This window comes from Homo sapiens, chromosome 5 (assembly GCF_000001405.40).
Source record: "Homo sapiens chromosome 5, GRCh38.p14 Primary Assembly".
Lineage (NCBI taxonomy): Eukaryota > Metazoa > Chordata > Mammalia > Primates > Hominidae > Homo > Homo sapiens.
Window position 1 is genome coordinate 152672695 of NC_000005.10, and position 24661 is coordinate 152697355.

At 38.1% G+C, this 24661-nt stretch overlaps 1 long non-coding RNA gene across 1 annotated transcript in view, besides 1 other annotated feature; it reads right to left on the reverse strand.

Annotated features, from left to right (window-relative positions):
• LINC01470 (long intergenic non-protein coding RNA 1470) overlaps positions 1–24661 on the reverse strand; it is a 353385-nt gene that overhangs the window by 53730 nt on the left and 274994 nt on the right. Inside the window, exon 4 of the long non-coding RNA NR_109877.1 lies at positions 11967–12091. This is a non-coding gene — a long non-coding RNA (long intergenic non-protein coding RNA 1470). The remainder of the gene's footprint in view (positions 1–11966; positions 12092–24661) is intronic.
• Positions 12094–12263: an enhancer, noted in NCBI's record as "experimental_83100 CRE fragment used in MPRA reporter constructs". NCBI's record gives its function as "activates a minimal promoter by MPRAs in K562 erythroleukemia cells, with activity observed for both the introgressed and non-introgressed 5:152064433 variant alleles {active_cell/tissue: K562}" and the evidence as "EXISTENCE:reporter gene assay evidence [ECO:0000049][PMID:34662402]".

Here is a 24661-nt window from a genome sequence, read left to right on the forward strand (position 1 = left end):
CTTCTGTATCTAACTCTTACATGTAGTACTAGTCCACTTTTGCATGGTTATGACACAGTAACGAACAATCCCCCAATGGCTGACAACAATAATAATTTCTCAATCATAACAGCCTTCTAAGGACTCTGGGAATTTAATTCCCTTCACCAGGTTTTCTCCTCTATCTGCAAAATGAGCTGATGATATCCATCCTTAGTATGTCATAGAACTCCCTGCTGTACTTAGAGTACAATCCAAAGTCCTTAAGCACAGCCTGTGTGACCTTACACCAGCCCAGAGATTTTGCCTTGTTGTGAATCACTTTCTTTATTCTTCAATTTGTTCCTATTATAGTTATCTCCTTCTGGTTCTTTGAAAGGACCCCACTTTCAGTGTTGTATGACACTCCCTGCTCATGGGAGGCTTTTACCCCTACTCCATAACTAACTTTCTAAGTCCCAGCTTAAAACATCCTTTTTCAGAGAAGGCTTTTTAGTTTTTCGATTTAAAATTAAGAGCTTCACCACTCCTAGGAGCTAATTATTTTCTCTCTTAAGAGGAAGCAGTGCATTTAGTGGTTAACAATTTAGGTTCTGGAGTCACAGTGCCTGGGTTTGAATCCTAGCTCTGATAGTTATAGTATTCCCAACTTACCCATGGGACATACATTCAAAGAACCCCAGTGAAAGCCTGAACCTCCAGACAGTACCAAACCTAATTATCATCAATCAGAACATCTGTGGTTTTGTTTTCCACATACAAATTTGGTGCCTTTCCCATCTTAACTAAACACCAATCATGCACTGTAGCCATAACTTTTGCCATTTTTGAGGTGCAACAGCAAAACTATCTCAAATTTCTTTTTTCTTCTTTACAATGTCACAGATAGAAAATTCATTCTTACTGCAGATCTTAGCAACCTCAGCATATGATTTTGTTTTCTTTCCTTAAGTTGAGAACTTTCACCTTCTCTCTTAAAGAAAACACTTGACAGCTTCTCTTTGGCATATCATTGGCATCACTACTCTTGGGCTGTGAGTTAATTATTAAGTAGAATAAAAGTTACCTGACAGAAGCACTGTGAGTTGATCAGATAACTGTGACAGCTACTAAGTCACAATGGGTGAGTAGGGTCTAAAGCTTGGATCCAGTGGAGAAAGGGATGATTCACAGAACAGAACAGCATGAGATGGCTCAATATTTCATCACACTACTTAGAAGAGTGCACGTTTAAAACTCATGAATTTCTTATTTCTGAAATTTTCTACTTAATATTTTCCAACTGCAGTTGACCATAGGTAATTAAAACTATAAGAAAGTAACCATGGAGACTACTGTTCTTAGTAGGTAACCTTGGGGAAGTTACCTTAACCTATTTTTGTTACCTTTAATATGGGTATTAGAACATTGCCTACTTCATAAATCTGTTACAGGAATGATGTGAATTAAAGGGCTTCACATAGTGCCAGGCAAATATCAAGTACTTCATAAATAATAGACATCATCATAATACTTCTAATAGTCATAGATTTACATGTTTCTTGGACACTTGCCTTTTCAAGTTAAAAGAGATCTTAAATATCTTATTAACTGATCACTTCCCTGACTCAGAAATGCTTTCTCTGATATTCTGGATAGTCACCTAGACCTTTTTTGAATATTTCCTTGGGTGATTTTGCTATATTACAAAGTAGTCCTCAATTTTTGTAGGTTTATGGTGTTAAATTGAGATATGTGTTCCTATAAATTCCACCTCTTGATTCTTCCTTCTAGGAGAAAAAAACACACACACAGTTAAGTTCTATTTTCTAAATGGCAAGTGTTCCTATACTGGAGGCAGCTTTCCTGGCAGCCCAAGGGACACCAATTCCAGTGTCAAGATGTCAGGTCTCACATCATCACTTTTCCAGTCAGCTTTTGAATCTAAAATGATCCTGGATGCCCTCTCCTTCATGCCATGTGAGTTTGCCAGTTTGTTTTATGGAGCTCAATGATGACTATGTGGAAGTGTGGAATGTGCATGTGGAATGTGCATTCAGAGCTAATGTAGATGCAAGGGTGAGGAGGTACTCCACAAAAGTAAAGTTAGGGCTGGTAGCGTGCTTGGAATACAAGCACATTGACAAAATCTGAGGACATATTCTCATCTAATAAGACTCTTCTGGATTCCTTCTCATTTGTACATCCTCATTCTTCTAGAACATGTATAGAAGTTAGCCAGGCAATCAGTACTCACTTGGTGCCTGTGATGTGGCTCTTTTCTGAGTATGGGGGATGTAGACACTCTGTAGTCATGGAGACTAAAGTCATAGAACTTTTTAGTCTAGACAGCAGAGAATTGATATGTGGATTCAAAACTGAAGTTACTTGTGTTGACATTGATAACAAAACTACTGAGTTGGTGTCAAGACTTTAGCTATTCAGTTAGCATTTGCGTACCTACTATTTGTCAGTCACCATAGCCACTGAAATGGAATAGGAAACAAGAAGGCAAGGCAATACAAGAAACTAAAGTCAGTAGAAAGTGTAAAAATACACAATCTTGAGGACTAGCCTTCAGGTGCTCCTAATGCTTATACTGGGATGGGAGTGGAGGATGAGTGGCCAAGGTGGGCTGCAGGGTTGTTGAAGCAGTCAGACCTATACAATATAGAATCTCTTGGAACATGGATGGAGCTGGAGGCCATGATCCTTAGCAAGCTATTGCAGGAAGAGAAAACCAAATACCACATGTTTTCACACATAAGTAGGAGCTAAATGATGAGAACTCATGGACACAAAGAAGGGAACAACAGACATTGGGGCCTACCTGATGTGGGAGGAGGGAAAGAATAAAAAAACACAAACTATGGGTACTAGGTGTAGTACCTAGGTGACGAAAATGTGTACAACAAACCCCTGTGATATGAGTTTACTATCTAGCAAAACTGCACATGTACCCCTAAACATAAAAGAAAAGTTAAAAAATATATAGAATCTTAGAACTGAGGAATGTATTGTAACTGAATAAAGATCTCTGGGTACCTACTTTATACCTCTTGTACCTGACTTAATTTATGTCCATACTTCCTCCTTTCTAACTGCATTCTTAAGCCTATTTTCTAGGCTTAAGATTTCTAGGATGCAATGTGTAGGGGACTGTTAGAGGAACAGTGTCTGGAATGGCAGGACGAAAACCTAATGAGGGTGGGTCAAGGAGAGAATTAAAGGAGAGGAACTAGAGACAATAAGCATAAACAAGTTTTTCTAGTGCTTTGCTATAAAGGGAGCAGAGAAATGGGGTGGTAGCTAACTGAGGGAGAAAATGAGGTCAGCAGATGTCAGAAGAAGTTAGAAGCCTAAATTCTTCTTAAGCCTATTCTGTCTGACCGTTAAATAGACAGTCAGCAAATGCTCCCCAAATGATTCTCTAATGCCTTTGGAAAAACTGCCAGGACCTGCATAGAGGCTGCGACATTACAGTGGCAGCTAAGCTAGAAAGGCTGCTCCAGTGGCAAATGGCACTAAGCTACTTGCCTTTTTTTATTAACACTAGTACATAAAGGTTGCCAGCAGAAAGCCCTTGTAATAACAGCCAACTGCTTCTAAGCATCTGAGCCCTTAATGAAACCCCATCCTCCTCCCCAGGGGAGGGAAGAATTGTTGGTTTTCTCTCTCAATTATTTTTCCAGTCTATTAAATTGTCACAACCCCTGTGTCTCTGTGAGAGGCGGGTGTCATCATAGCTCATCTCCTGGAGACAGGGAATAGTGCTGCCAGAGGAGATGTTTTCTGAGTCTGTTTCACCACCGCCAGAGAAAAGAAGGTGATGATGGAAAAACTCCAAAGCAGCAGCAGTAGACGTCCTGGAGAGATTTATGAGACACACAACAAGCGAAACGAGGATGTTTGTGCCATCAGGTTATAAAAAATATGCAATTTTAATCCACTAAGCAGTTTATCTTTTCATGCAGCTTAGTTTGCTGGGATAATTACCTTTCTGAGCAGTCCATGACATGGACGAGGCAAAGTGTGTGCAAAATACACAAATCTGTGTGTGCCATTGGAGAATATGTCAGAGGAAGGAGGATTAACTCAAATTTTGGAAAACATGCTGTAGACAATGCAGACAGTATGCTGAAAGTTTTTCTTCTGTCGTTAGCCAAATTATGAAGGTTTATTTTCTCTTAGAGCAACAGTAGCTATTTGACCCCTTACTATACATTAGATACTCTGTGGTATATTTTTCAAGCACCACAGAGGTTCAGGGAGATTAAATAATTTACTCAAAAATATGCAGTAAAGGCATGTGTGGGCTTAGATGTGACCCCAGGCCGTCTGCCCCAGGAGCCTGGATCTCCTTTCCTGACATGAGCCATCTGCGCCTATTGAAGACTCACACCTTCACCAGAGCATTTGACCCTTTCCCTGCAGCCTGATGACACACTGCAGCCATTCTCCCCACACTTTCCTGACATTTATTTCCCTTTATCTACTAGTTCTTTCCCATCAGTATGCACAAATACAACAGTTTTCCCATCTTGAAAAACATCTGCTGACCTCATTTTCTCCCCCAGTTAGTTACCACCCCATTTCTCTGCCCTCTTTATAGCAAAGCTACTAGAAAAACTTGTTTATGCTTATTGTCTCCAATTCCTCTCCTTTAATTCTCTCCTTGACCCACCCTTATTAGGTTTTCATCCCACCATTCCAGACACTGTTCTTCTAACAGTCACCTACACATTGCAGCATGTGGCATTGATCACTCCCTCTTTCTTGAAACATTTTCTCCTTTTTTTTTTTCTTGAGACAGAGTCTCCCTCTGTCACCCAGGCTGGAGTGCAATGGTGCGATCTTGGCTCACTGCAACCTCCGCCTCCCAGGTTCAAGCGAATCTCCTACCTCAGCCTCCCGAATAGCTGGGATTACAGGCTCCTGGCACCATGCCCAGTTATTGCTTGTATTTTTAGTAGAGATGGGGTTTCACCATGTTGACCAGGCTGGTCTTGAACCCCTGACCTCAGCTGATCGACCCATTTCAGCGTCCCAGAGTGCTGGGATTACAGGTGTGAGCCACCACACACGGCCAACATTTTCTACCTTTAGCTGCCAAACAGACATAGTCCTGGTTTCATTCCTTCACACTAACCCTTGCTGGTTTCTTTTCATCTTCCTGACATCTTCATGGTTAGGGAATACAAAGGAGCTCATTCCTAGGACTTCTCTTTTCTGTCTACACTCACTCTCTTGTGCTGATGAACCTTCCAGACATCTATCTTTGTATTTAATATCTTCATCTGGATGCTAATAGCCATCTCAAGTTCAATATATCTCAAACCAATCTAGCAACCTCCCTGCTTCTCAGCCAAATCCACTCCATCCATAGTTATCTACAATCTCAGTCGATGACAATTCTATCCTTTCAGTTGCTTAAGCCAAAACCATAAAGTCACCTGACTCCTGTTTATCTCATGCTCCACGTTCAATGTATATCTAGATTCTTACTGCTACTCACCCTCCACTGATACCACTATGATCCCTGTCAACATCATATTTTACCTTGATTATTGTAAATGCCTTCTAGATGCCTGTTTCCTCCACCCTTACTCCGTACATCCTAGTCTCAATGTATAAGCCATAATGATACTTTAAATTTGTCAGTCAGATCGTGGCATTTACCTGTTTAAAACACTGCAGTGGCTCTCCATCTAACTCAGAAAACACAAAGTCTTTACAAAAGTCTGTAAGGCCCCATGCAATATGTCCCATCCCTGCTTCAAATCTCCAACCTTCTCTTTGAATCACTCTGAGTTAGACATAATGGCCTCCTTGCTGTGTGTCCTGGCTTTTCTCTCTGCTGCACTGCAGTGCTCTTTCTCCAGATAGCCATATGGTTTGTTCTCATCTCCTCCTTCAGGTCTTTGCTCAGATGACTCTTTCTCAGTGATGTCTTCCCTAATTACTATATTTAAAATCAAACTCCCCCTCAAATACACATGCATAATCTATTCTCCTTCCGTACATTATTTTCTCTATTCCATTTATTGTCCTTTAACTTACTACATAATTTACTATCTGCTTCCCCAACTGGGATACAAATTCCTTGAAAGCAGTTTTATCTGTTTTCTTCAACACTGTATCCCAGAGCTTAGAACAGTGCTGGAAACACTGTGAAGTGACTATTTGATGAACAAATGAACAGTCATGACTCTTAAAGTCATTACCTAGAGAGGGTTGGAAATGACCTGAGAGTGAAAGATTTCCTCTTCCAAGTGGGCTGGTGTGCTGCCCTGAATTAGCATTGGAAACTGTAGCTACAATCCCATCAGTTATAATGTCTATAATTTACTTGTGAGAGGCAGTGGAGTGCTGGGGTTATATGTGGACTCCTGAAGCCAGATGGCTTGGGTATGGATTCCATCTCTGGCACTTACTAGCACTTTGAATAAGTTTCTAAAACTTTTTGTGCCTAGTTTTTTTTTCTCATCAGCAAAATGGAAGTAAAAATATTACTTACCTGAGAGGGTTGTTATAAGGATTTGATAAGTCAGTCAGTATACACAAAGTGCTTAGATCACTGTGTCCCATGGGCTTCTGCAACAAATTTCCCATGCCTTCGATGTTTTCAAGAAATGTTCATTACCTTCTTCCCTTAATATAAACCTGAATCTTTCCTGAGGATATGGCCACCCTTGAAGCCCTCTTGCTATAGGTTCTTTCTCCCCGATATCTCTTCTACAAGGGCCCTGAGGTGGAGTAAATGTCCTCCTTACTCTTCATTGATACTTCCAGATGCTTATTTATTTATTTTTTAACCTAAAAACCTATTGGAATCTTATATTGACCTCACATACATGTTGCCCCCTTAGTGTCATTGTCAGATGACACTTCATCATTATCCCTCATTCCTTAAAGATTTTGGTTCACTGCTTTTCCCTATTTAAACTTTCTTCTGGAATAATCTTTAGTGAAGTCAAAATTCACCATAGTGGATTGTTCAACACCTTGGCCTTTGTTTCTAACGTTTCCTTCTTCAGTCTTTTTCTCTTACTCATTCCACATACCTTATCATTAACAATAACCACAATACCTCCATAACCTCATTTTTAAACATTTCATTCACAAACCACCATCTCCCATCTCCCTAGCTCATTCTATTTACTATCCTAACTACAACATTCTATTGAGCCCACAGTCATCTAAATTCCTTGCTTTTGGTTATATATATGTATATTTACCATTGTGTGCATACCTAGTTTCACTGGTGCCATAGAAGAAGTTCATTAAAAGTGAAAGACTAAGGATATTAACAAAAGTGTCAGTCTGAAAATTTTCTTCTCCATAAAAGCAGAAAGAACACCAGCATAAATTGTCAGAATTAACTTTTTCAAAACTCTAAAAATTAATTAAAGGCTTATGGAAATCCTGAAAATATTTAAGATAACCAGCTGAATCTAGGTATGAACAGTGAGCTTTATGACATCTTAATTTTTCCTATTTGCATCCCCTCCCCTCCCCAGCACCACAGTAAGTCTTGAAATCCAAATAGCCTGCAATCATGGTAAAATCCAGCAGCCTAAGAACCACCAAAGGGAGTAGAATGGGGCAAAAACCCTTTCAAAGTCCCACTATCAGAGCATTGTCATTATTTGATCTGTTTGGTGGTTTCCTAGAAGAACCCACTAGCAAAGCTTTATTTATTTAACCTAACAGGAAGCTTAACTCCTGAAGAAGTGGGAAACAGTTGAGGAAAATAATAGGCTAACCAAAAAGCTTAAGGAAATCTTGGGAATAAGAGATCCAAAGGGTGTTTTGAAAAGCTCTGATATATTTCAGAGAATCTAGAAGGTCATAGACATGCACATAGGGCTGTGTACATGTTTGGGCCTATGAAAATGCCCTGGAAACACCTGAGCTCTTACTTCTGGCTAACCTTGAGTTTCTGCAGAAGGGGGAGATAAAGGCTAAATCATGGTTGTTAACTGCCTGGCAGAGTGTTGAAGGAGTGCAGTCCATCAAGCACACTAATATATAGACAATGGTAACCCCAAGAGGATAGAGAGAGATAGAATATTTGAAGAAATAACGGCTGAAAACATGTCCAAGAACTCCAAATAAGATGAATTCAGAGATCCATGCTCAGACCCATAATAATTGATTGAGCTGTTGAAAACCTAAGACAGAAAAAATCTTAAAAGCATCAGAAGAGAAGAAACTGATCATTTAAAGGGGGTGTTCACTCAAAGAGAATAAAACTGATTTGCCATCAGATATCATGGAGACCAGAAGACAGAGGAATGGCATATTCAAAATGCTAAAAGAGAAAGACTGTCAACCAAGAATCTATATCCAACCAAACTATTCTTCAAAAATAAATTTAGACATTACCAGATGAACAAAAACTGAGAATTCACTAACTTGACTTTTCCTATAAGAAATGCTAAATGAATCCTTCAGCTGATGTGAAGAAACACTAGAAAGTAACTTTAATTCACATAAATAAATGAAGATAACCGGTAAAAATAATTGCATAGGTAAATATAAAATACAGGTTAAATATATTTTTGTTTATAAGGGTTTTATTCTATTTGATTTAAAAAACTGCATAAATAATTATAAATTTGTGTTGATGGTTATATCATGTGTAAAGAAGTTATTTGTATGACAATAGCACAAAGAAGGGTGATGAACTGGATCTATGCAGAAACAATTTTTTCTATACTGGTTGAAATTGATTGAAATAAACTAGATTGTTTCAAATTAAGGTCATTGACATAATCCCTGGGGTAACCACTAAGAAAATAAATTAGTAGTAAAGGAAACAAGGTGATTAAAATGGTACACTTGAAAATATCTATTTAACACAAAGAAGGCAATAATGAAAGATAGGAAACAAAAAATAAGGAAAATAAATACAACATGGCAAATATAATTCCTACCTTACCTTATCAGTAATCCCATTTGTACTAAATTCTCAAATTAAGAAGCAGAAATTAGAAAAATGGATCAAAAGAAACCAGGATGCCACTACATGTTGTCTACAAGACATACACTTTACATCAAACACAAAAATAGGCTAACAGTTAAAGGGTGGTAAAAAGAAACACGATGTAAACAGTAAGCAAAAGAGAGCCGGAGTGGGGCTAGACTAATATCAGACAGAATAGACTTTAAGATAAACATGTTCTAGCAATAAAGAGCAATATTTTATAATGAGTCAATTCATCCAAAAATATACAATAATTATATAAGCATCAAAAAAGTCCCAAAATACACGAGGTAGAAACATACAGAATTGAAGTGAGTAACAGAAAATTTGATGATAATTGGAGACTTCAATATCTCAATTTAAGCAATGGATAGAACCAGACAGATGATCGACAAGAAAATAGAAGACTTGAACAACAATATAAATAAACTACATACAAAGTTATCTGTAGAGTACTCCACCCAGCAACAGTAAAATAAATCAAGTGTTCCTGAATACTTTTCAAGATAGAATCTATATTAGGCCACAAAACAAGTTTCAATAGATGTATAATGATTGAAATCACAAAAAGTATGTTCTCCAAGTACAATGGAATCAGTAACAGAGGGAAACTTGGGAAATTCAATAGCATGTGGAAGTTAAACAACATACTCCTAAACAACAATAAGCCAAAGAAAAAAATCACAAGGGGAATTACAAAACACTTCAAAATGAATGTAAACAAAATAGCATGCCAAAATTATGGGATGCAACTAAAGTAGTGCTTAGAGGGAAATTTACAGCTGTAAATAAGTCAATTAAAGAAGAAAGACATTTCTTTGAAGAATATATACAAATGGCCAATGAGCTATGAAAAGACAGTCATCATCATCCATCATTAGGGAAATACAAATCAAAACCAAATGATATCATCACTTCATACCCACTAGGATAAATCCATTTTAAAAAGACAATAGGTGTTAGAGAGAATGTGGAGAAACTGGAAAGCTCATATACTTTGGGTAAGAACGTAAAATGGTGCAGCCAGTTTGGTGAACAGTTTGGCAGTTCCTCAATGGGCTAAACGTAGAGTTACTATATGATCCAGATTATTTTACTCCTAGCTGGGTGTCTACCCAAGAGAAATGGAAATAAATGCCCATATGAAAACTCATACATACATGTTCATGTCAGTATTATTAATAATACTCAAAGTGGAAATGACTCAATGGCTATCAATTAAGAAATATAATATATTGACAGAAGGGAAAATCAGCCATATAAAGGGATGGAGTACTGGTTCATGCTCTACATGGATAAATCTTGAAAACATCCTAAGTGAATAATACCAGACACAGAAAGCCACTCATTTTATGATTCCATTTGTATTAAATGTACTGAATATGCAAATCCATAGAGACAAAAAGTAGATTAGTGGCCGCTAAGGGCTGGGGGGTAAGTAGAATAGAGACTGACTGCTAATGGGAACAAGATTTCTTTTTGGAGTGATGAAAATATTCTAAAATTATTGGTGTTGAATGCACAACTTTGAGAATATTCTAAAAGTCACTGACTTTAAAAGGATGCACTTTAAAAGCATCAATTTTAGGGCATGTTAACAATATCTCAAAAAATGAAACATTAATTCTGGTTAGGAAAATTATAAAAGACTTCATTGTTAGGGTACATTCACAGTAGAGCTAGATCATGAACACTCTGCAAACAGGGAGACAGTGTTATGGTGTGGAAGAAGGGAACAGGGAGGCAGGAAAGCATTAAGCACAAGTCAGAAGTTAATGCTTCTATTTTGGGCTGCAACGTGATATTGGGGAGTGAGTTTAGAATTGTTACTTGTAGCTAGGTTGGAGAGAAGCAACATTGAACCTCCATGCATGCTGCAGGCCAACTGTTTATGGCCCCAGGTTTAAAATGAAATTGTGGAGTACCTAAAATATTCTCAGTGGTGGCCTCAAATTTTGCTTTCATTATTCTTTACTCTGTACATTTAGGATTGTCCTGTTGTGAGTTTTCCAGGCCAGAGAGTAAAAGACTCCTAATCCAAATTTCTCTCAAATCATAAAATATAGACAGCCTCCGGGTTCCATATAATTATGAAGTTAGGTTCATATTTTCAGTTTCCAAAATAGCTTTCCAAGGCTGAACTTAGGTAACACCGGTGATAATGTTTGAGCCACATTCCCAAACTCTGGAAGAAAGCCCACAGTTAACAGAAAAGTACATTTCCCCAAAGCAGGCCCAAGTCAATTTAATGACACTGCTTGGTTTAGAGTAGTTCAGAGAACCAAAATATTTGGCTGACTAAAAGCATAGGGTTTGCCTATATCCACGGCAAGAGAGAAATAGTAGAAAGGGAAGCCAAGAACCCAAGGTATATATTTGGGGGGTTTTGTTTTAGCTTTTGTTTGTCCATATGCAAATGAAGACCTGGATTTGAAATACCTTAATGTTCAACTTTCAAGCTGGCAAACATACCTGTAAAATAGCTATTGCACTGAAAAAAAAAAAAAACAAAAAACAACCCTTATGTCATTTAGTCCATTCTGCTTTTAGATAAAATGACACTTATGCATACTTGTCAGTCTAAATTTAAGCCTCTGTTTTAACCCACTCTTCATCTCTCTTTCTACCACCCCATCTTCTAGAAGTAGCTTCACACCCTGTCACCAACTTATTCTGTAATCTCTTAATATGGCCTCTGGAAGATTGTTTTAATTTATGGTGCTTATCTCTAGAGGTTGTAAGACTGCCCACTTAAGTCTCGTTTCTCTCTTATTCCTTTATCGGGACTGATAAAAAGAACTAGAAGTCACTCCTTTCTCCATTCCTCATATTCTGTCCCAATCCCAACTCTTCATACGTGGAACTCTCAGAATATACAGTGGAGTTGGCCTCTTTTGTTATTTTTATCTATGCTTGGGTTACATGGAGAAATCTCAGCTAATGTGTCTTTGTGCCTCAACTCATCCTCACTTACGGTGAGGGTATAATTTTAAAAATTTCGTTATCTTTAAAATTTTACCTTCATCTCTCTTCCAGGATGCCTCACTTTCCAGATTCCAAGATGCCTCATTCTCCAGATGCATTCGTGTTTATTCATTTCTTTCTCCAGCTCCCTCTCTCATTCTGTCCCTTTCAGACTACCATCTGGAAAAAAAATAACATATGACAGATTTTCAGAAATAACTCAGTGGTCTGAAGGCTGTGCTGATGGTGTGTGAGGATAACCCTGTGCGACTAAAAACCTGTGCATCATGGTGATGCTTTTCCTGGCATTTGCGTCTACTTTGGCTTCATAAATTAAGGTTCTAATGAGACATTTCTCAGTTCTATGATCTGTACTTTGCCCCTTGACTGCCACCTTGGGAGAGGGAGTAAGGGATGATTGATTCATATGGCAGTTCATATTATTTTGGCTTATTGATCAGCTTTCTGCTAATGACTTAATATCTTAGCCCCATTGTGAATGTAACTTTCTCCCAGAAGTCATCTGATATTGAAACTTTGAAAAATATATATATATTTATATATAATATGTATATAAATATGTTTACATATATAAAAATATATATTTTAATTTTATCCTCTGAGTATTAACTGAGCATCATCTGAACTTCTCTTATAAATACTCTTAACGAGTATTTATAATTATAATAAAGTATGAATGTAATTTATGGGAATCTATTACCATCTATAAGTACCCTGAGGCCAAAATTAATGTCTAAATGAGACTTCTACCCCCCATGGTGGCAAATATGACATTTTATACATCACAGTTAATAAGGATATTTGTTGATGGATAGGTGTATAAGTTAAAGAAAAGGAGGGCAGAACAGGAATCAGTATACTAACAACTGATTCCACAACAGAGGAATAAGGGATATAGCTACTGAGAGTAGAGTCTGGGGGAAGAAAGGTCCGTAGTACCAAAGACAAAATTGACGCCCAGAGGACTTGGTGTAGAGACCTGTGATAATCATGACTTAACTGAAAACAGGAGAAAGATAACTTTAGCCAACCACCTGGAGAATCCAGGAGCTTGGCTGGCCAGGCTTAGTGTTGAATCAGCAGGTTATAGCTAATAAGGTACAGACAAAAAGAGAAATGATTATCAAGCGTTTATCACGTGCCAGATGCTATGATTAATGCCTGACCTCTTCCTTTCCCTTTCATTCACTTACTCTCATCCTCATTCTCTCATTTGTTTTTAGTAGAAAGGAAGTCTCATGCCTATTGTAATAAACCAATACTGTGCTATTCAGTATTGTTATGGTCATCTGAAAGCTTTATAGAGTGATGTAAAAGGTTACCTGAGGTTGTAATGTTAATACTTGTGAGGGATAAAAAGTGGAGGAAATAGAATTGGGCAAATTTAACAAGTCTTGGACCACCCATTGGGAAGACACAGAGCCAAGAGATAACCCACAGTGGGCAAAAATGGCCAAACTCTGATAACCCCATCATACTGAGTCATTGGCTGGGGATGCAGGTGAGGAATGTGGCATCAGCTGGAAGGACGGGGCAGATCCTGAAGCTCCTAATATTTGGAGGGTATCAGCTCACTGTATTTCTTAGAGTTGAATAGCAAGTTCCTTAAGAGTGATCCAAATGGCGTATGTCCCTGGCTGCCATACCACATACATGAGATCTTAATTGATGTATATAGACATTCTAATGACATCGTGCTTTCCTGATTCTAGTGTACTGCCTCATAGATTGATAAATCTATGAAAAACATCTAGTCCAATCATTTACAAAACACATTCCAGATAGTTCCAGATTTCCCCCGAAGATGTCTCTTGGATCACTGTAGGAATCATAAAAGAAGAGAGAGTAGCCAGTTGCTGTAACCTTCCTCCCAAACACAGTGGCTTCACTTTCTTGTGCTAGAGATTTGGGCTTCCATGTGAGATTCCATTTAAAAAGTAGTCTCTGCTATTGATAAATTAAAAGTGTAAAAAATCATTCATATCTGGCAGTGAATATCAGGGGTTTATAACTTTTCAGAGATTAATAGATTTATAGTAGGTACCAGGAACTACACATAACCCAAAGCCAGTCTTGTTTATGCCATAGTCACATACCTGGGAATAGCCATAGAAGAGTGTAGGAGATGGGTCAGAGTGGTGGGAGAAACCAGAGGGAAAGAGGCAGGCCTTCAGAAAGGAACAGGCCTTCGGAAAGGTCGGAAGGCTCTGCATAGCTTCAGGGGAGAATAGCTGAAGGCAGCTGTTTTCTAACCCTGAGGCAGAGGGCAAGGAGTAGATACAAGGGAGTGTAGGGGAATTTATCTTAAACAGGCTTGTTTACTTAAATTGACCAAAAGCTGACCTTTGATCATCCACACACATCCCTTTCCCTGAAAGGGGCACAATAAAGGTTACCCACAGATTGTGTTTGCTCCAGGCTATTGGCATTGTGCCTACACTGAGTAAATGCAAGCAACTCCAGCTTCTCGGGGCTGCTGCACTTTGGCCACTAGAGCACGGCAGTACCCTAGCTGCTCTTACACTGCATACCTGTGTCTGAGTACTCCTTTCATCTGTCGATCGGCCAGGGTCTGTGGGGCAGACCTGGCAGAAGAGTAACATCTAGAGACCAATGGGGGAGAGTCAGGTTGAGAAAGGGGATGGGATTTCCTCAAGGTTACAGGATAACTAGGGGCAGGAATAGGACACCAGTGGCCTGGTCTCCTGAATCCCTGTGCACTATTCTTTTCACTCTGCCATTATATGCCTATGACTCAGCAGACCCAGACAAAACTCTGAAAGTACAATAGACACTACTGAGAGAGAACTGTCAAACATCATTAGTGTCTACATTAAAAAATTAAAATCAATATGTTGAAGGGATAGCTGTACTCCCATGTTTATTTCAGCATTATTTACAATAGGTAAGATAGGAAAGCAATCTAAGGGTCCATCAATGAAAGAATTAGTAAAGAAAATGTGATATTTATACATAATGGGATACATACATCCTTTAAAAAGAAGATTCTGTCATTCATGACATTATGAATGAAACTGGAGGACATTATGCCAAGTGAAATAAGCTAGGCACAGAAAGACAAATACTATATGATCTCACTTATATGGTGAACCTAAAAACATCAATCTCATAGAAACAGAGTAGAAAGGTTACCAGAGGCTGAGGGGAAAGGAGATGGGAAAAAGGGAGATGTTGATCCAAAGGTACCAAGTTGCAGTTAGACTAGAGTTTTAGTGAGCTATCATACTCCATGGTGACCACAGTTAATAATGCATTGTATATTTTGAAATTGTTAAAAAATCGACTTTTAAAATATGGTTTGTATATATCATGGAATACTACTCAGCCACAAAAAGGAACAAAATAATGGCATTTGCCGCAACCTGGATGGAATTGGAGACCATTATTCTAAGTGAAGTAACTCAGAAATGGAAAACTGAGCATCATATGTTCTCATTGATAAGTGGGAGCTAAGCTATGAGGACACAAAGGCATAAGAATGATACAGTGGACTTTGGGAACTTAGGGGAAAGGGTGGGAGTGGGGGGTGAGGGATAGAAGACTACACATTGGGTACAGTGTACACTGCTCAGGTGACGGGTTCACCAAAATCTCAGAAATCACCACTAAAGAACTTATTAATGTAACCAAATACCACTTGTTCCCTAAAAACCTATTGAAATAAAGTTTACCACGAAAAAAATATAGGCTTTTAATGTTCTCAGTCACACAACAATAACTTGCTGAGGTGATAGATATGTTAATTAGCTTGAGTGAATATTTCTATAATGTATACATAGATCAAAATATCACATTGTATTGCATAAGTATACAATTATTATTTGTCAATTAAAAATTAATAAAAAAATACTCATCCCAGTCCCTGGAGTAGAATCCTTTTTTTACAGAAAACTTAGTGCGATACCACAGTACAATGAACAAATGAAAGTTGAGCAGCTCTGATTACAATTGGGGGTGGGGGTTAGTCCAAGTCAGAGGCTTCCCACCCTATTTGGCCTTTCTTTCTCTTCTCCTCCCACATTATGGTCACTCCTGAACACCTCAGTAGAGCTCTTGGCCTCTAAGTGATGTGATTTAATAAAGAGGAATGTGCCAAGACTCAGAACAGCACGGCCGCTTGCAGTGTTATAAGTGGATTAGTCATAAAATGAGCTGACTCATCATCGCAGCCCACAATAAGACACTGCCTTTGAAAGCCAACTCCTATCCTTTAAAACCAGGCATTTTAGAAAGTTTTGGGCTTAGAAATTATTCTCTCCTGTGTTGTAAGTTTGAACCTGAAGGCAGCCACTGATTTGAAAGTATTCATGGGGTTCAGGTCAAGGTTAGGAAATTCATTTCCAAAGATAAACTAATATGAAGGGAAGACTGCTATCACTCTGGAGCAGTTGATGCTGCAAATCAGTCACCTGACAAAGCAATTTACATCTGTCAACTCCCTGCCTTCCCTTAGGAGCAGGTAATGGGCTCTTGGCTCACTAAGGTGGCAAGAAGTACCACATTGTGGAATGAATTCAATTACCTGCTGAAATGTATATTTTGACTCTCCTAACTCTGCTGTGGGGAATGAATTTAAATTCCTCCATCTCATTAGCAGGGTGGGCTGTTGACCATTCTGCCAGAATGGGTCTCCATTCAGAGAGTTGTAACACACAACCCTGGAAACTAGAAAAGCAGTCAGCAAGCCACAGTGAGGACCTTCCCCTGGGCTTTCCATTGGTTGTGCTCTCCTCTCCCCACATGACCACTCCTACCTGCTCTGAGCCCCAGGCTGTCTCAGTCTCACCAGTCGTGTCACTCCCACCAACTGCTGCAGAGACACACTCAGGAAAATCTTATTGGGAGCTGCTCAGTCCCTTGAGGCAGAAAATGTGATTAGATTTCTACACCTTCCAAATGCAATACTGCATGCAGTCGGTCAAGCGAATCACTGAGCACTTTTAATCAGTCATTTCACGGGGAAGTTCCTGGGGCCTTGGGCATGGTCAGACTTCCAGGAAGGAGGCATAGGAAACACTCTTGGGAAAGCGGCCAAGGCTGTATGGGCCCAGGCTCAGCTAGATGTGCGGTCGAGGATAAAGCAAGTACAATTCGAAAGGACTTCACAGTTTACAAAGCACAAACGTGCTCATTATTTGAGGTTCTAAACAAATCTATGAGGTAAAGCTAAAAGGAAGTATTCTTCATTTTTTAGGTTTTATTTTAAAAAATTGAGTTCATATAAATAAATAGTTGCTAACCCAATTCCATGCAGTTATTGCCAAAGCTGAAACTCAAAGCAGGGTTTTGTGATTCCAAGTCCCATGTTGTTGGCATTTTCTTGCAAGATGCTAAACACACACAATGATCAGTAACAGCAGCAGCTAACATTTCATGAAGTACTATATGCTAAGGCCCTGCACAATGCGTTTCCTGTGCTGTCTTCGCAGACATCCTGTGAGATGGGTACTGACACATCCCTGTGAAGCACAGTGAAGCTGAGAGTGACTGTAATCTGCTAAAGGTTACCTGTCTCCAGGCTGCAGCACTCTATGAGGCAAATTTGTCTTCACCTATGCCACTAAAACCTCCTTAACTTCAGGGAAATTGGACTGATCCGCACATGTAGTTTCTTCCTTCTACCCCTAAACCTTACATAACTTTGGGAGAATCTCACATACCATTCTCTCAGCAGCCCTAAAGAGGTGCCTACTTACAAGGCTTGGGAGATGATAGAGGGTAACCCTGGAAATACAGTTATAATTTTGCTTCAGTTAAAAAGTCAACAAGTGTTAGTAATGACAAGAATCCTTCTACACTAAAAAGAATGCTATTCTTTTCATTTTATTTCTTCCTCTGTTCTACCACGCCTGCCCCCAAATATCTACCTAGGTGATAATGTCACAAAGTTGGAGGGACACAAGGATTATCGTGTTCTGTGTGTCCCTTTGATTTGTGTGATGCACAGCTCAACCCTTCTGTTACTTGAGAAGGCCCTTTGATCCTAACGTCTTGGAGTGTGAGGCAGGAGAAGGCTAGGTAGAAAAAAAAAAGAGAAGCAATTTCAGAAGAGGGTAAGACAAAAGCTGAATGTTCAGTGTTCCTCTCTTGGCATTTTGAGTGAGGTTGTGGTTGAAAGGAACTTGCAATTGTGGTGGCTTGAACTGAATAAGTCATGAGAACTGGACATTAGTCTAATCCTGTTTCTTTGCATTCTGGAAAGCAGAGTAGGAAGTAAACTGGGAAAACAATTGACACTTTTCATAAGTTTTCTTAATGAGACTTTTCTTTAAAGAGGTGCAAGAATAAACTTGAAAGTAAAGCCTTCTTGCCCTTGGGTGTCCTTCCTATGCTTTGCTTGTTACTTGTCCAAGTCTCATGCCAGCTTCAAGGTCTTCCAATGCCAAGAATGCCTTCCTTAATCTTCTACACACTCAGAAAACACCATAGCATTTATTGCCAGAACTCAAAACAAGTATTGATTATATAGTTACACTGTTTTCTAATTATTTAGTCTGGTAGTCTTAACTAAACCTCAGGACACTTGAGGGCAATGATCGTATTGTCGTCCTCTTCCCAGTGTATCTTATGCCATTTGCAACTTAGTAGGTCTGTACATGTAGCCAGTGATAAATAAACCTAAGTGCCTGTTAATAGTGATATACATGTAAAACTTTATCCCTCAGTAATAAAACTTGTATAGTGCCTGAGTACAGAACACATGTGTTCGTATTTGGGCTAATAACTCTTAGTGAGGGAAGAGAATTTGCAAGTTCACTATTAATAAAATAATTTTAATCTTCTCTAATGTTTTTAGAAATTTCTAAACCATAAGACTTCTAAATACTTGTACCATTCAATGATATTTGTGGATCACATTTTATTTTTTATACAGTCACACCTTAGACATATGGTGGGTTTGGTTCCAGACTACTGCAACAGAGTGAATATTGCAATAAAGTGTGTCATACAATTTTCTTTGTTTCCCAGTGCATATAAAAGTTATGCTTACACTATACTTCCTCTCCTTGTAAATTTCCATTAGAGCTCTTGGGTAACTAGGTGCATTGTCAATGATCAGTAACATTTTGAAAGGAATTTTTTTCTGAGCAGTTCTCAACAATGAGCTTAAAATAATCAGTTAACCATGCTTTAAACGAATGTGCTGTAATGCAGGCTTTATTTCTAGAGCACAAACAGAGTATATTTATTATAATTCTTTTTCCCCCCCACTGAGATGGAGTCTTGCTCGTCACCCAGGCTTGAGTGCAGTGGCACAATATCGGCTCACTGCAACCTCTGCTTCCTGGATTCAAGCAATCCTCCTGCCCCAGCCTCCTGAGTAGCTGGGATTACAGGCATGTGCCACCACGCCCAGCTAATTTTTGTATTTTTAGTAGAGATGGGGTTTCACCATGTTGGCCAGGCTGGTCTTGAACTCCTGACCTTGCGATCTGCCCACCTGAGCCTCCCAAAGGGCTGGGATTACAGGTGTGAGCCACTGCGCTCAGCAGATTTAGTATAATTCTTAAGGACCTTAGGATTTTTTGAATGCTAAAGGAGCATCAGCCTCAACTTCAAGTAACCAGCTGCATTTGCCCTTACAAGAGACTCAGCCTGTGCTTTGAAGCCCAGCATTGACTTCTCCTCTGTAACTATGAAAGTCCCAGATGGCATCTCCTCCAACAGAAGGATGTTTCCTCACCATTTAAAATCTGTTGTTTCATGTACACCTTCATCTATAATTTTAGCTAGATCTTCTGGGTAACTTGCTGCAGCTTCTACAGGAGCACTTGCTGTTTCAGAGTGCACTTTTCAGTTATGGAGATGGCTTCTTTTATAAAATCTCACAAACTCATCTCTGCTAGGTTCCAATTCTTCTGCAGCTTCTTCACCTCTCTCAGTCTTTACAGAATTGGACAGATTTAGGTCCTTTCTCTGGATTAGGCTTTGGCTTAAGGGAATGTTGTGGCTGGTTTGATCTTCTATACAGACCACTCAAACTTTCTCCATATTAGCAACAAGGCTGTTCACTTTGTTATCATTTGTGTGTTCGCTGGAGTAGCACTTTTAATTTTCTTCAATAACTTTTCCTTTGTATTAACAACTTGGCTGTTTGGCACAAGAGGCCAAGCTGCGGCCTGTCTCAGCTTTTGACATACCCTCCTCACTAAGCTTAATCATTTTTAGCTTTTGACTTAAAGTGAGTGACATGTGACTTTTCCTTCCACTTAAACACTTAGAGGCCATTGTGGAGTCGTTAATTGGCCTGACTTCAATATTCTTTTCTCAGGGAATAGGGAGGCCCAAGGAGAAGGGAGAGAGAGAGGTTGGGGAAAGGCCAACCTATAGAGCAGTTAGAACACACAGTTTGTTGTCTCCTATAGTCACAGTTTGTAGTGTCCCAAAAGAATTATTAACATTAAAGATCACTGATCACAGGTCACCATAACAGATATCATTTAAAAGTTTAAAATGTTGTGAGAATTACCAAAATATGACACAGAGACACAAAGTGAGCACATGCTGGTGGAAAAACTGGCACCAGTAAAGTTGTTCAAAGCAAGGTTGTCACAGAACTTCAGTTTGTAAAAAATGCCATATCCATAAAGCCCAATGAAACAAAGGATAAAGCAAATGCTATATCCTAGTCCAAGTAGCTCCAATGAAAGCCTAAGTCCCTCATTAAACAAAATGGAAAACTAGCTTAAAATACATATTTTTGAATATTAAATCAACCAAAAGCAATATATTGTGGGTTAATTTGTGTCTACCACTGGAGGAGAAGCGTCATTGCAAGATTTAACAAGTATTTTAAATTTCTCAATGCAGAAGCCATTAAGAAAAATAGGACAACACATCAGATTCACAAAATGGCATGAGAGAGAACACAAGAAGGCTACACTTTGATATGTTTCTGTCATTCAGAATAAAGTCTTGGGGGCATAGTATAGAAGATTCATTAGAGAGCTTGAAGTTGAGCTAGCCCAATCCCCTCAGGTAACAGGTGAGGAAACTGAACCTTAGAAGTGTTAAATTGTGCATGTAGAGTTCCACAGTTGAGTGGTCAGGCAACTTGGTTCTAGTCTCAATTCTGCCTCCAATACGATATAAGCACCTTAAGAATATAAAGATGACAGGAAGGTAAGGTGGAATAGTCTAGGAAAACTTACATAATTCTTTACTGATTTTATTCACTGTTTCTCTTCAAGATAGGTGGGAGGATATTTGTCTTTTTAACTTTGGAAATTCTACTGCCCAGAATATTAAAGCACTAGAAAAAATTGAGAGCTGAAAACCAAAGAAGGCTCATCCCTATTCATCAGATGTAAATGCAATGATTTGACTATCACTATCATTAACTGGTTAATAACTATTTATGACCCCAGGATGTAGTTTCTACCCAGTTAATGGGCTCCATAGTAAAGCTATGATTTTATCTTAGCTGCTATGACTGTTGGTTTCAGTTGCTTGCATTAAGGGATGAGCAGGTTCTGCTGATTATCCACATAATAAGAGATCATGTCCAAGGGCCTTCAAAAAAAAAAAAAAAACCTCTCATCAAACAAAATAGGAATTGTGCCTGAGAAGGAAGCCTTGCAGAAATAACATGTTGATTGCCCCCAAATAACCCTCACAAATCACACTTAAGGGAACTCGATCATACATTTTCTCAGCCACATTTTAAAGCAATTGTGAATCACTAAGTGCTGGGGGATTGTATCTGCTGACACTTCGCAACTAAGATTTTCCCAAGCTGTTTTCACTTAGCCTTTCAGCTAGTACCCACCCCTTGTAGGCACAGCTTTGTGAAAAATACAGAGTCAAGTGTGGCTGAGCTGGGCTGTAAGTGCAGGGGCTATTTCTGAATGCTTGGCCAGATGGGCTCCCAAGGAAGAATAGGTCCTGACAATCCCTACATCTGGTATCTTGACCATCCTCCAAGCCAAGCTCCACTTCTTCCTCCTCCTATTTTTTTTTCTTCCCTTTAAAAATTGCTTTCCTTTAAACATTGTATTCCTTTATTCAATCTGTATTTAATGAGCATACATGATGTGCCAGGACTAAGAAAGATGTGAAGAAAGCTTAAGATATGTTTCTTGTTCATTCTGACCTTGCAATTTAGTTTACAAGATGAAATATATACAAAAGCATTTTTCTAGATTTTACCTGATACCTACTATTTCTACTATATCACTCCTCCTGAAATTACCACTTTTGCCTGGACTATTGGAATGGCAATAACCCCAGCTGACATCCCCTTCTCCATTTTTGTTAAAAGGTCAGTCAGATCATTTTAGTTCTTTTTCAGAAAGGCTCTAGTGGGTTTGTATCTCATTCAGAGTAAAAGCCAAAGCCCTCCCATGACCTACAGGCTGTCTGTGACCTGGCTCTGTTTTTTTGCTTGACATTATTTTCTGCTACCTGTCATCTTACCTCACTCTGATCTGGCCCCACTATCCCTTTGCTGTTCTTCAAACACAATAATGGCTAAAGCATGTTAAGGCTTTTGCCCTTGCAGTTCCCCTATGTGGAGACATTTTTCCCTAGCATACACGTGGTGTTCATCCTCATTTTATTTAGGCTTCTTGTCAAATGTGAATTTGCTCTAAACCACACTCATCACTCTTTTCTCACCCAGCCTCATTTTTCTTCTCAGCACTTAAAAGCACTTAATGGGTTAATGTATCTGTTTCCCCAAACTATGTAAAGAGACATTGCTTAGTTCCCCAGTATATCCCTAAAACCTGGAACTGTGACTGGCACATAGTAGACTGTTATTACATTGGTCAAACTGGAAAACTTAAATGCTTCAATGACAAGAGACAAATGAAGGAGTGAATAAATGGAGTGTCCAGATGAGCTTCCCACTGTCTAGTAAATGAAATCCTGTCTCTTTACCTTGGCCTTCAGATATTTTTCCATTAGGGATACTTTCAGATTCAACCAACAAAATGCTTTATGAGCAGAAGTTTAAGCAATAAAGATACTCAATAAGGTCATACAACAAGATGCTGAGAGGTAAGCAATCTTGACCCAGCAGGTGCAAAGATGTATCAAAGACAGAACATCTTTCTATGTTTACTCTCACTACCCTTAGTATGTTCCCTTATAGCTTTATGGCCATAAGACCGTGGCTGTACAACCAGGCAGCATGAAAATATTCAAGGCATAGAAAGTGAAAATGGTAACAAAAGTGACATTTAACCCGTTTTTCAGGAAAACAAGAAGTTTCCCAGATGGCTTTTCCTAAGACATTTTCTATTATAACTGTGCAATTTATTCATCCCTCAAGGAGAAAGTAGTTTTTCATTTTTCCAGCCTCTAGGAAGAAGTTGGGCAAAGAAATGGGTTGTAAATGTGATTTTGTGTAGTCAACCTCCACTGTCTGTCACCTAATGCCTTCTATGATATGACCCCCCGACCTGATTTCCCACCATTCCACTATACACAGTCCTTGTTCCAGCCCAACTCTTTACTGTTCCCCAGATACTTCTCTTCTTTTTAAAAGGGTTTAAAAACTATTTTAACAGAAAAGTTGAGAATATAGTACATGGAAGTCCCATATCCCACCTTATTATTATCATCTTCTATGAACATGGTATTTTTTATTTACAACGAATGAACTAATATTGATACATTATTATTAAAGTCCATACTTTATCCAGATTTCTTCAGTTTTTACCTAATGGCCTTTTTCTTTGTTAAAATATATTTAATTGATTTGTAACAATTATACATATGTTGGGGTACATACGTAGTGGTACATGCATACAATTTGTAATAATCAAATCAGGATAATTAAGATATCCATCACCACAAATATTTCTCATCCTATTGTGTTAGAAACATTACAGTTCTTCTCTTCTAGCTATTTTGAAATATACAATAAATTACTGTTAACTATAATTTCCCTACTGCGCTATCCAATGTTAGAACTTAGTCCTTCTATCTAACTGTATTTTTGTTCCCTTTTGACCAGCTTCTGTTCATCTCCTGACCCTCTCCCCTTTCCAGCCTCTGGTAACCACCATTCTACTCTCCACCTCTATACATTATACATCTTTAGCTTCCTCTTATAAGTGTGAACATGCAATATTTGCCTTTCTTTGCCTGGCTTATTTCACTGAATATAATGTCCTCCAGTTCCATCCATGTTGCTGCAAATGACATGATTTTATTCTTTTTATGGCTGAATAGTATTTCATTGTGTGTGTATATCATTGTGTGTATATGTGTGTATATATATTACATATTCATATATTATATATATTTTTATATATTATATATGTATTATATATACATATATATGTAATATATAACACATATATAATATATAGATGTAATATATATAACACATATATAATATATAGATGTAATATATATAACACATATATAATATATATTATATATTATATATATTATAAATGTATATATGTATATTATATATACATATATACATATATACACGTATATATGTATATATGTGTATATATATTATATACATATATATTATATTATATATAATATATTACATGTTATATATAATATATTACATGTTATATATAATATATAATATGTTATATGTTATATATAATATGTTATATGTTATATATAATATGTTATATGTTATATATAATATAATATATAATATATATTATATATAATATATATTATATATATTATATATTATATATTATATATTATATTATATATATTATATATTAT